General features: G+C 41.2%; 1 protein-coding gene across 9 annotated transcripts in view, besides 4 other annotated features; it reads left to right on the plus strand.

Moving 5' to 3' along the window:
• ADAMTSL3 (ADAMTS like 3) overlaps positions 1-7,448 on the plus strand; it is a 385,720-nt gene extending 378,272 nt beyond the window's left edge. For 3 of the 9 annotated variants that reach the window (XM_017022434.2, NM_001301110.2, XM_047432885.1), the window contains 2 exons: positions 4,379-4,610; positions 5,369-7,448. In XM_017022434.2, the coding sequence (XP_016877923.1) occupies positions 4,379-4,610; positions 5,369-5,431 (295 nt within the window). In that variant the 3' untranslated portion in view covers positions 5,432-7,448. Of the gene's footprint in view, positions 1-4,378; positions 4,611-5,305 lie in introns of all 9 variants that reach the window. The other 6 variants (XM_011521823.3, XM_047432886.1, XM_011521822.3 and 3 more) reach the window with 3 other exon arrangements.
• Positions 5,230-5,399: an enhancer, noted in NCBI's record as "experimental_41724 CRE fragment used in MPRA reporter constructs". NCBI's record gives its function as "activates a minimal promoter by MPRAs in K562 erythroleukemia cells, with activity observed for both the introgressed and non-introgressed 15:84706461 variant alleles {active_cell/tissue: K562}" and the evidence as "EXISTENCE:reporter gene assay evidence [ECO:0000049][PMID:34662402]".
• Positions 9,724-10,923: an enhancer, noted in NCBI's record as "CDK7 strongly-dependent group 2 enhancer chr15:84710870-84712069 (GRCh37/hg19 assembly coordinates)". NCBI's record gives its function as "activates an origin of replication core promoter dependent on BRD2, BRD4, P300/CBP, MED14 and CDK7 cofactors, with strong dependence on CDK7, by STARR-seq in HCT116 cells {active_cell/tissue: HCT116}" and the evidence as "EXISTENCE:reporter gene assay evidence [ECO:0000049][PMID:35650434]".
• Positions 9,724-10,989: a biological region, named in NCBI's record as "CDK7 strongly-dependent group 2 enhancer GRCh37_chr15:84710870-84712069".
• Positions 10,396-10,989: an enhancer, noted in NCBI's record as "H3K27ac-H3K4me1 hESC enhancer chr15:84711542-84712135 (GRCh37/hg19 assembly coordinates)". NCBI's record gives its function as "activates a minimal SCP1, AML or CMV promoter by ChIP-STARR-seq in primed H9 embryonic stem cells {active_cell/tissue: H9 hESC(primed)}" and the evidence as "EXISTENCE:reporter gene assay evidence [ECO:0000049][PMID:30033119]".

Here is a 13,100-nt window from a genome sequence, read left to right on the forward strand (position 1 = left end):
AAAGTGATTTCAAGCCAAAACCATTCTCCTCAAATGGAAAATGTTTGGAACGGCTGCTCTCATTCTCAACAGACAACCTAAGTTTCCTATTTTCCTGAGAAGATACAGACCACACACAGATTGATATGCATCATCCCAGGTGCTTTACTTTGCATTCACAAAGATATACTTAAAGCACAAATACATACATGGGTCACATACATATTTTTCTGAAACTTGCTTTTTCTACCTAAGAATATATTATAGATAATTCCCATCAAGTAAAGATTAACTTTATTCTTTTTAATTTTGTACTTAATACTCTATTCTACTCAATATTCTATCTAAATTTTGTACTTAATATTCTGTTGCTAATGGACATTGGATAGTTTCAAACTTTTTGCTATTATAAACTAAGCTTCAGTAAATATCCTGGAACATATATCTTTGGGTACAAAGGGTAATATTTTTATAGAGTAGATTTTTAGATAATGGAATTGAATTGGTAGGAATGCTCATTTTGATGCTATCAAATTGCCATCAAAATTTCTATGCCAGCAATATGTGAGAGTTGCCCCCTTTTCATCAACATGATATAGGTTTGCAGTCTTTTAAAATTTTTGCCAATCTGATGGATGAAAATTTATCTCATTGTAATGTGTACTTTCCTGATTACTTTTTTATATGATTTTTTATTCCTTATATTTTTTTTCTTGAACTCATCTTCATTTTTTCTTTTCTGCCACCATTACCCTTGGCCAAACCACCATCGTATCTCACCTGGTATACTGTCACAGCTGTCCAACTGGTCCCCCTTCATCCATCCATGCTCCTTTCCAACCCAGTCTCCACAGTACAGCCAGAGTGAGTTTTCCCAGATGCAAATCTGATCCTACCACCACCACAACCCATCTCCCTGCTAGACTAAAATTACTTTAGAGGTTTTACTTGCTCTTAGGAAGATTGACCAAATCCTCAATGTGACCTATAAAATACCACATGCTTGGCTGGGCATGGTGGCTCACACTTGTAATCCTAGTACTTTGGGAGGCTGAGGCAGGCAGATCACTTGAAGTCAGGAGTTTGAGACCAGCCTGCCAACATAGTGAAACCCTGTCTCTACTAAAAATACAAAATTAGCTGGGCATGGTTGCACATGCCTGTGATCCCAGCTATTTGGGAGGCTGAGGCAGGAGAATTGCTTGAACCTGGGAGGTGGAGGCTGCAGTGAGCCAAGATCACACCACTGTACTCCAGCCTGGGCAACAGAGCAAGACTCTATCTCAAAAAAACAAACCAAAAAACAAACAAAAAAACGTGCTCAAGTCCTACTTTTCTTCACAGCCTCATCCATTATCTCATGCTGTCTCACTCTTCATGTTCCAGCCACACTGTCCTTCTGTCAGTTTCTCAGATATGTCACATACTTTCCAATCAAAGGTAGCAAAAAATAAGAGGCAGAAAATGTAATACGGAAGATAAAGAGTATAGAAGGATCTATCAAGAGGCTCAAAATCTGATTAAATTGGGTTTTAGACCAAGAGATATGAAAGTGAAATTAAAGGGTAGACTTTTTTTTAATAATGGAAGAAAATTCCTAGAGCTGGGGGTGAGTCAGAGTGGCAGGGAGTCAAGTTACCATTCATTTTCTCTTTTATTTCTGTTTCCTCCAGGATTGGCTGTTCTGTTTTTATAACCTGATGCTTTTCTTTCATGGTGTTAATATTTTTTCCTCAGATATCTGGTGGTTTATGGATGAGGGATGAAGTTGGTTAGTATAGAGAGCTGTCGAGGGTTTCTTCTGCAGTGTTTTAGCCCCCTTTTCCCCACAGACCTCTTCTGCTGGATTGGTTTATGACCATGGGCTCTCTGTAGGTAGGTGAGGTGTTAGATCTCACTTTTGAGTGGGTGGACAGGGAGCAATGGAGACCCCCCATTTGCCATAGTAGGGCCTCAGGAAATGTTAGAGAGTGTTGTAGAAGGAGTAGCATTAGTGGCGTGGGCAGAGGATCAGTGGTGGGCAGGCTGTCTGCTAGTGTTTACTATATGCCCTGGGAAGGTTTTGGGAGCTGTGGCTTCCATTGAAAAGTTGTAGAGGGAATGGGAATTGTCAGGGTGGAGCTAGCCCAGACTTATGGCAAGGTGACAACATGGGGACCTATAGAATGCTGAGGACACAGAAAGTTGGTTTCTCAAAGTGGCGATTTCTAACTTCTGAAATCAGAATCACCTAGGAAATTTCTGTAAAATAAAGATGCTTGGGCCTCACCTCAGGCAGTGAATCAGAACCTTCATGAGATTGCCTGGCCATCTACAGCATTTTAAAGCTGTGTGCTTCTGCCTGCTTCGAATAACCAGGCAGGCTTGGGATCTACTGCCGTCAGAATCAGCAGTTCCATCTGGCTGATGGTGAAAGGAGTTACTTGAGGCAGAAGTGGAGCCAGACTGAATAGAAGTGAGAAATTGAAAAAAGCTAGTAGAAACAGGGTTCCTTTATGATTTCTGCTACCATTTCTACACTCATGCTTCATGTAGAAAAACACATGAACCCCAGTTATGTGCATAGTGCAGGTGCCCAGACTGCATTCACCTGGCTCAGGTGTCTCTGTCCTGAGTCCTGTCCCTGGCCAGGAGGAAGTTACGCCCTCTACTGGACAGACCTTGCTTTTTATTTATTATGATTTTTTCTACTGTATCCTTAGTGAGCAGCCTCTTAGCTTTCCTGGGCTTCAGCTTCTGTGTTGGTCCATAGCTCCCTGTGCCCCTCTCATTCTTTGTATTTAGAAAGCTCAATAGTCCTGTCTGACTTCCCACTGGCCCTGCCTTTCATCAAAGCAAAAGGGGCTGTTTTACAATCCTTTGGGCTAGAAGCAAAAGTCAACTTGGCATGATTTATGCAAAAAAGGGTGAGGGATTTATTAATAAGACAAGACCACCCAAAACTTGTGCACAATAATTTGGTATTCTTTTAAATATATTATTTGAATATTTGTTCAAGTTTCTTCAGTGGAAGGCTGATCTCTATATAGGGATGGTTGAGGAGTACTCAGTCTCTTCTCTGTTGTTCAAAGTGACTCAATTTTTGGTCCCTAAGATTCATACCTACTGGGGAAAACAAAAGCAGCTAACAGGACACCCACCTCTTCCATATATCGTATGAACAGTTTGGTAGGACAGCACTGTGTTAAGTAAACCCTTTGATAGAGTCTCCTCCTACTGGCTAATGATAGGATTACTTCCAACTACGTGCAATACTCTCAGAGTTCTTGGATATCACAAATTTCTCCATTTTATTACATTTCCCATAAAACACTCCTTATGGATTTATGTGCCCTGATAAGGAACCTTTAATGGGATAACAAAAATATCTCATAGAATCCAAAGGGAGAACAGGGAGCATGCAGTCAGACCTCAGGAAGGACTACAACTAAGAAATGGGAAGTCATTGTTTTTTTTCTCTTCTCTCATCTCTGCAGTTCTGTGTGTTTCTGCTTCATTATTTGCTCTTTATGAAAACTGGTTTTTTTCTATATTTCTGGCCGATGTGGAAGAATATAGCCACCTAATACTCCACACTTCAGGTTTGCATGCCTGGTTCTAGCAACCTCCAAATCCTAAGAGAAATACATTTCTTCAACCAGCTCAAGTTAGGGCCCTCTTCCAGTCATCTTTGGAACTGGGAAGACACTCTCAAGCAGTGCAAATATGTCTTCAGGAGCCCTGCCTTAGGGAACAAGGGCAGATACCCCAAAGTGGGCCCACTAAGTTTGGCTCTATCCTCTTTAGCATGTGTCTTTTCAAAAATCAGAGGGTATTAACTTTCCATTCTGTTTTAAAAGGCAAGGAAATCAGAGATAGATTCTTATTCTCATATGGTCTTCAGTAGTTTCTGACTGCAAGTCTTGGTGTGACCTAAATGTAAAAAAGAGTACTTCTTTTAGCAGACAAGGTTGCTCACATAGAAAGTCATACACCGCAGTATGTTTTGAGCGCTTACAAACAGAAAATTGAAGTCTTGTTAATGAATTTGAGGTGGCTTATTGTAGATCATTATAGTAAATAATTCTCTTCCTTGCCAAAATTGATTTCTTCCAGCTAGTCAGGATGTGTGTGCCTTGACTTGGTGTTGGAAGTCAGTGGAAACACATGGTTTGCTTGCCATGCCCTCTTCATCAGAGCACATCTAAGCAGGCGCACTCCACCCCAGGTGGTGGAGAATGTTGTCACTGTCGTTCTAGCCTGTATGGCATAAAAGCAGAGGAATGTCTTGGTCTTAGACTCTCCATCCAACCTTTAATACGTAGTATAGAGTAAGGTAAAAAGGCTTGGTCCCAGCAAAAAGTTACACCCTGCCTCTCCTATTTTTTGTTTTTCCGTTTTGTTTTATTTTTCACTTCAGACCCACCTTAAGAAGGAACTGCACATCAGGGGCCTGTGATGTGTGTTGGCACACAGGCCCTTGGAAGCCCTGTACAGCAGCCTGTGGCAGGGGTTTCCAGTCTCGGAAAGTCGACTGTATCCACACAAGGAGTTGCAAACCTGTGGCCAAGAGACACTGTGTACAGAAAAAGAAACCAATTTCCTGGCGGCACTGTCTTGGGCCCTCCTGTGATAGTACGTACACCTCCCAGGTATCTCCACTGCCCCAGAGGCCTTGATGGCATCAGATCCTGATGCTACCATCACGGCACCAAACCCTGCTAGTGATTACCTCATCAGTGTCCCAACTGAGGGGCTATTCAGAATGGATTTGGTAGCTTGGGACATCAGGGGATGAACTCCTTTATGTGGGTGCAGCTGCATGTTCTCTAGAGAAAAGGCAGTTGGATTAGTAGCATGCCAGCATCATTGGTTACTGCCTTTCCGACAAGCACTGTCAGTCTCTCCACACACTTCTCTTCTGCCTGGTAGTCTTACGTGCTAAGACAAAGATTCCATGGATGGGCTTGGGTAGGTATGCTGATGTCCTGAAGTTATATGTAAAAACTGTAGGTTTATTTTTCTAGGGAGTAGGTGTGTAGCATTCATAAGTTTTTCAAGGAGTCCATGACCCTGCAAAAGTTAAGCATTGCTGCTCTGAGAACTCAAAGGAGCAGCATGGGCCAGAGGGACTGGGAGGGTCCAGAGAGCAGCAAGAGGTCACTTGGCTGAGCTGAAAGGGAATCCAATGCACTTCTGACTCTCATGCAAAACAATGGCCCTAACCCAAAGCTGGTTTCTTCACCTCACTCTGTGATCTCAATTTATGGCTTTTCATAAAGTCAAATAATTTTTAATTAGGTCTCTAATAAGCTATATGTTACAGATATTTGTTTCTTTTTTGCAGGAGACTGCACAGACACAACTCACTACTGTATGTTTGTAAAACATCTTAATTTGTGTTCTCTAGACCGCTACAAACAAAGGTGCTGCCAGTCATGTCAAGAGGGATAAACCTTTGGAGGGGTCATGATGCTGCTGTGAAGATAAAAGTAGAATATAAAAGCTCTTTTCCCCATGTCGCTGATTCAAAAACATGTATTTCTTAAAAGACTAGATTCTATGGATCAAACAGAGGTTGATGCAAAAACACCACTGTTAAGGTGTAAAGTGAAATTTTCCAATGGTAGTTTTATATTCCAATTTTTTAAAATGATGTATTCAAGGATGAACAAAATACTATAGCATGCATGCCACTGCACTTGGGACCTCATCATGTCAGTTGAATCGAGAAATCACCAAGATTATGAGTGCATCCTCACGTGCTGCCTCTTTCCTGTGATATGTAGACTAGCACAGAGTGGTACATCCTAAAAACTTGGGAAACACAGCAACCCATGACTTCCTCTTCTCTCAAGTTGCAGGTTTTCAACAGTTTTATAAGGTATTTGCATTTTAGAAGCTCTGGCCAGTAGTTGTTAAGATGTTGGCATTAATGGCATTTTCATAGATCCTTGGTTTAGTCTGTGAAAAAGAAACCATCTCTCTGGATAGGCTGTCACACTGACTGACCTAAGGGTTCATGGAAGCATGGCATCTTGTCCTTGCTTTTAGAACACCCATGGAAGAAAACACAGAGTAGATATTGCTGTCATTTATACAACTACAGAAATTTATCTATGACCTAATGAGGCATCTCGGAAGTCAAAGAAGAGGGAAAGTTAACCTTTTCTACTGATTTCGTAGTATATTCAGAGCTTTCTTTTAAGAGCTGTGAATGAAACTTTTTCTAAGCACTATTCTATTGCACACAAACAGAAAACCAAAGCCTTATTAGACCTAATTTATGCATAAAGTAGTATTCCTGAGAACTTTATTTTGGAAAATTTATAAGAAAGTAATCCAAATAAGAAACACGATAGTTGAAAATAATTTTTATAGTAAATAATTGTTTTGGGCTGATTTTTCAGTAAATCCAAAGTGACTTAGGTTAGAAGTTACACTAAGGACCAGGGGTTGGAATCAGAATTTAGTTTAAGATTTGAGGAAAAGGGTAAGGGTTAGTTTCAGTTTTAGGATTAGAGCTAGAATTGGGTTAGGTGAGAAAGAAAGTTAAGGTTAAGGCTAGAGTTGTCTTTAAGGGTTAGGGTTAGGACCAGGTTAGGTCAGGGTTGGATTGGGTTTAGATTGGGGCCAGTGCTGGTGTTAGTGATAGTGTCAGGATGGAGGTTAGGTTTGGAGTAAGCGTTGTTGCTGAAGTGAGTTCAGGCTAGCATTAAATTGTAAGTTCTGAAGCTGATTTGGTTATGGGGTCTTTCCCCTGTATACTACCAGTTGTGTCTTTAGATGGCACACAAGTCCAAATAAGTGGTCATACTTCTTTATTCAGGGTCTCAGCTGCCTGTACACCTGCTGCCTACATCTTCTTGGCAACAAAGTTACCTGCCACAGGCTCTGCTGAGCCTAGTTCCTGGTCAGTAATAACTGAACAGTGCATTTTGGCTTTGGATGTGTCTGTGGACAAGCTTGCTGAGTTTCTCTACCATATTCTGAGCACACGGTCTCTTTTGTTCTAACTTCAGCTTCACTGACACTGGGTTGAGCACTACTGTATGTGGAGGGTTTGGTGATTGGGAATGGATGGGGGACAGTGAGGAGGACACACCAGCCCATTAGTTGTTAATCATCAATCACATCTGATTGTTGAAGGTTATTAAATTAAAAGAAAGATCATTTGTAACATACTCTTTGTATATATTTATTATATGAAAGGTGCAATATTTTATTTTGTACAGTATGTAATAAAGACATGGGACATATATTTTTCTTATTAACAAAATTTCATATTAAATTGCTTCACTTTGTATTTAAAGTTAAAAGTTACTATTTTTCATTTGCTATTGTACTTTCATTGTTGTCATTCAATTGACATTCCTGTGTACTGTATTTTACTACTGTTTTTATAACATGAGAGTTAATGTTTCTGTTTCATGATCCTTATGTAATTCAGAAATAAATTTACTTTGATTATTCAGTGGCATCCTTATAAATGTAGGCAGCTTATGTGTGTTATTTTTTGGTAGCCTTCGGTCTTGTCATCGTGGCTGCCCCTTCATCAGTCCAAGAGCCACCCCAGTGGGTTTGATTCCCTGGACTGTCCTTCAGAGTGTGGATTACAAGACTCAGAGCAGATCTCACAAAGATTCACTCTAATGCCCTCATTTTACTCATTTACATATTGTGAATCATTTTTAAAAGAATCTCAAGAGCAGCAGAAGAAAGAAGTCCCAAACAGACAACCTGAAACAGGTATTGAAGTAAGGGGTAGTTGGAAGAGCAAGCGGTACTAATAGCCTTTTAATTTTTTAAAGACTTTTTTTAGAGCAGTTTTAATTTCACAACAAAATTGATTGGAAGGTACAGAGATTTCCCATGTATACCTCATGTCCCAACACATATATAACATCCCCCATTATCAGCATCCCCCACCAGAATGGTACATTTGTTACAATTGATGAACCTCCATTGACACATCATCATAGTCCAAAGTCCATAGTTTACAAGAGCTGGGATAAATCCCACTTAGTCATGGTGTATAATTCATTTTATAAATTGTTAGATTCAACTTGCTAATGTTTGTTGAGTATTTTTGCATTTATTTTCATGAAAGATTGATCTGTAGTTTCCTTCCTTCCTTTTTCATGAGAGATTGGTCTGTAGCTCTCTCTCTCTCTTTCTTTCTTTCTTTCTTTCTGTCAGCAAGCCTCCCTCTATTGCCCAGGCTGGAGTGCAGTGGTGCGATCTCGGCTCACTGCAACCTCCGTCTCCTGGGTTCAAGCATTTCTCCTGTCTCAGCCTCCTGAGTAGCTGGGATTACAGGCCTGCGCCACCAAGCCGGCTAATTTTTATATTTTTAGTAGAGACAGGGTTTCACCATATTGGTCAGGCTGGTCTCAAACTCCTGACCTCAGGTGATCCACCCACCTCTGCTTCCCAAAGTGCTGGGATTACAGGCGTGAGCCACCATGCCAGGCCAGTTTTCTTTTCTTGTAATGTTTTGTCTGGGTTTGGTATTAGGGTGATACTGGCCTCATAGAATGAGTTAGGAAATATTAACTCTGCTTCTGTCCTCAAGAGATTGTAGAGAATTGCTATTTCTGTCTTAAATGTTTGGTAGAATTAACCAGTGAACCTGTCTTGGCCTAGTGCTTTCTGGTTTTGAAGATTATCAATTATTGATTCAATTTATTTAATAGAAATAAGCCTATTTGGATTGTCTGTTTCTTTTTGTGTGAGTTTTGGCACATTGTTTCTTTGTATGAATTTTGACAGATTGTGTCAAGGAATTGGTCTATTTCTTCTAGGTTATAAAATTGTAGGCAGAGTTCTTCATGGTATTCCTCTATTATCCTTTTAATCCCCATAGTATTTGTAGTGATGTCTCCTCTTTCATTTCTCATATTAGTAATTTGTATCCTTTCTGGTTTTTTTTTTCTTAGCTTTGCTGGAGACTTACTGAATTTATTGATTTTTTTCAAGTAACCAGTGTTTATTTCATTTCATTTCTTCTATTGATTCCTTGTTTTCAATTTCATTGATTTCGGCTCTAATTATTTCTTTTCTTTGTCTTACTTTGGATTTATTTTATTTTATTTATTTATTTATTTATTTAGGAGACAGATTCTCATTCTGTCACCCAGGCTGGAGGGCAGTGGTGTGATCTTGGCTCACTGCAACCTCCTCCTCCCAGGTTCAAGCAATTCTAGTGCCTCCACCTCCCAAGTAGCCAGGACTATGGGTATGCATCACCAAGCCTGGCTAACATTTTGTATTTTTAGTAGAGACAGGGTTTTGCCATGTTGCGCAGGCTAGTCTTGAACTCCTGAGCTCAGGCAATCTGCCTACCTCAGCCTCCCAATTACAGGCATGAGCCACCGTGCTTTACTTTGGTTTTTTTGATTTTTTTTTTGAGATGGAGTCTTGCCCTGTCACCCAGGCTGGACTGCAGTGGCTCAATCTCGGCTCACTGCAACCTCTGCCCCCTGAGTTCAAGCGATTCTCCTGCCTCAGCCTTCTGAGTAGCTGGAACTACAAGCATGCACCACCATGCCCAGCTAATTTTTGTATTTTTAGTAGAGACAGGGTTTCATCATGTTGGTCAGGCTGCTCTCAAACTGCTGACCTCATGTGATCCACCCCACTCGGCCTCCCAAAGTGCTGGGATTATAAGCGTGAGCTATGGCACCTGACCTACTTTGGATTTAATTTGCTCTTCTTTTCTACTTTCTTCAGGTGTAAACTTAGAATACTGATTTAAGATCTGTCTTCTTTCCTAATATATGTATTCAATGCCTTATATTTCCCCATAGCACTGTTTTTACTGTATCCCACAAATTTTGATAAATTGTGTTCCCATTTTCATTTGGTTCAAAATATTTTAAAATTTCTCTTGAGATTTTCTGATCCACATGTAACTTAGAAATATGTTGTTTAATCTCCACATATTTTGAGATTTTCCAGTTACCTTTCTGTTATTGATTTATAATTTAATTCCACCACGGCCTGAAAGCAGACATTGTATGATTTCTAGTCTTTTAAATGTGTTAAAGTGAAGAAGAGGGTGGAGTCAAGATGGCCGAATAGGAACAGCTCCAGTCTACAGCTCCCAGCATGAGCGACACAGAAGACGGGTGATTTCTGCATTTCCAACTGAGGTACCGGGTTCATTTCTCTGGGGAGTGTCGGAAAGTGGGTGCAGGACAGTGGGTGCACTGCAGCAAGCCTGAGCCGAAGTAGGGGGAGGCATTGCGTCACCCGGGAAGTGCAAGGGGTCAGGGAATTCCCTTTCCTAGTCAAAGAAAGAGGTGACAGATGGCACCTGGAATATCGGGTCACTCCCACCCTAATACTGCGCTTTTCCAATGGTCTTAGCAAACGGCACACCAGGAGATTATCTCCCACGCATGGCTCAGAGGGTCCTACGCCCACTGAGCCTCGCTCATTGCTAGCACAGCAGTCTGAGGTCAAACTGCAAGGCGGCAGCAAGGCTGGAGGAGGGGCACCCGCCATTGCGGAGGCTTGAGTAAGTAAACAAAGCGTCCAGGAAGCTCAGTTTGAGCCCACCGCAGCTCAAGGAGGCCTGCCTACCTCTGTAGACTCCACCTCTGGGGGTGGGGCACAGCCAAACAAAAGGCAGCAGAATCCTCTGCAGACTTAAATGTCCCTGTCTGACAGCTTTGAAGAGAGTAGTGGTTCTCCCAGCACGCAGCTGGAGATCGGAGAACGGACAGACTGCCTCCTCAAGTGGGTCCCTGACCCCCGAGTAGCCTAACTGGTAGGCACCCCCCAGTAGGGGCAGACTGACAGCTCACACGGCCGGGTACTCCTCTGAGACAAAACTTCCAGAGGAACCATCAGGCAGCAACATCTGTTGTTCACCAATATCCTCTGTTCTGCAGCCTCCGCTGCTGATACCCAGGCAAACAGGGTCTGGAGTGGACCTCCAGCAAACTCCAACAGACCTGCGGCTGAGGGTCCTGACTGTTAGAAGGAAAACTAACAAACAGAAAGGACATCCACACCAAAACCTCATCTGTACGTCACCATCATCAAAGACCAAAGGTAGATCAAACCACACCAATGGGGAAAAAACAGAGCAGAAAAACCGGAAACTCTAAAAATCAGAGCGCCCCTCCTCCTCCAAAGGAACGCAGCTCCTCACCAGCAACAAAACATAGCTGGACGGAGAATGACTTTGACGAGTTGAGAGAGGAAGGCTTCAGACGATCAAACTACTCCAAGCTAAAGGAGGAAGTCTGAACCCATGGCAAAGAAGTTAAAAACCTTGAAAAAATTCAACAACGCTTCATGCTAAAAACTCTCAACAAATTAGGTATTGATGGGATGTATTTCAAAATAATAAGAGCTATCTATGACAAACCCACAGCCAATATCATACTGAATGGGCAAAAACTGGAAGCATTCCCTGTGAAAACTGGCACAAGACAGGAATGCCCTCTCTCACCACTACTATTCAACATAGTGTTGGAAGTTCTGGCCAGGGCAATCAGGCAGGAGAAAGAAATAAAGGGTATTCAATTAGGAAAAGAGGAAGTCAAATTGTCCCTGTTTGCAGATGACATGATTGTATCTAGAAAACCCCATCGTCTCAGGCCAAAATCTCCTTAAGCTGATAGGCAACTTCAGCAAACTCTCAGGATACAAAATCAATGTGCAAAAATCACAAGCATTCTTATACAGCAATAACAGACAAACAGAGAGCCAAATCATAAGTGAACTCCCATTCACAATTGCTTCAAAGAGAATAAAATACCTAGGAATCCAACTTACAAGGGATGTGAAGGACCTCTTCAAGGAGAACTACAAACCACTGCTCAATGAAATAAAAGAGGATACAAACAAATGGAAGAACATTCCATGCTCATAGGTAGGAAGAACCAATATCGTGAAAATGGCCATACTGCCCAAGGTAATTTATAGTTTCAATGCCATCCCCTTCAAGCTACCAATGACTTTCTTCACAGAATTGGAAAAACCTACTTTAAAGTTCATGTGGAACCAAAAAAGAGCCTGCATTGCCAAGTCAATACTAAGCCAAAAGAACAAAGCTGGAGGCATCACGCTACCTGACTTCAAACTATACTACAAGGCTACAGTAACCAAAACAGCATGGTACTGGTACCAAAACAGAGATATAGATCAATGGAACAGAACAGAGCCCTCAGAAATAATGCCACATATCTACAACCATCTGATCTTTGACAAACCTGACAAAAACAAGAAATGGGGAAGCGATTCCCTATTTAATAAATGGTGCTGGGAAAACTGGCTCACCATATGTAGAAAGCTGAAACTGGATCACTTCCTTACACCTTATACAAAAATCAATTCAAGATGAATTAAAGACTTAAATGTTAGACCTAAAACCATAAAAACTCTAGAAGAAAACCTAGGCAATACCATTCAGGACATAGGCATGGGCAAGGACTTTATGTCTAAAACACCAAAAGCAATGGCAACAAAAGCCAAAATTGACAAATGGGATCTAATTAAACTAAAGAGCTTCTGCACAGCAAAAGAAACTACCATCAGAGTGAACAGGCAACCTACAGAATGGGAGAAAATTTTTACAACCTACTCATCTGACAAAGGGCGAATATCCAGAATCTACAATGAACTCAAACAAATTTACAAGAAAAAAACAAACAGCCCCATCAAAAAGTGGGTGAAGGATATGAACAGACACTTCTCAAAAGAAGACATTTATGCAGCCAAAAGACACATGAAAAAATGCTCATCATCACTGGTCATCAGAGAAATGCAAATCAAAACCACAGTGAGATACCATCTCACACCAGTTAGAATGGCAATCATTAAAAAGTCAGGAAACAACAGGTGCTGGAGAGGATGTGGAGAAATAGGAACACTTTTACACTGTTGGTGGGACTGTAGTTCAACCATTGTGGAAGTCAGTGTGGCGATTCCTCAGGGATCTTGAACTAGAAATACCATTTGACCCAGCAATCCCATTACTGGGTATATACCCAAAGGATTATAAATCATGCTGCTATAAAGACACATGCACATGTAAGTTTATTGCGGCACTATTCACCATAGCAAAGACTGGGAACCAACCCAAATGTCCAACAAATGATAGGCTGGATTAAGAAAATGTGGCACAT

The sequence above is a fragment of the Homo sapiens genome, chromosome 15 (assembly GCF_000001405.40).
Source record: "Homo sapiens chromosome 15, GRCh38.p14 Primary Assembly".
Taxonomy (NCBI): Eukaryota; Metazoa; Chordata; class Mammalia; order Primates; family Hominidae; genus Homo; species Homo sapiens.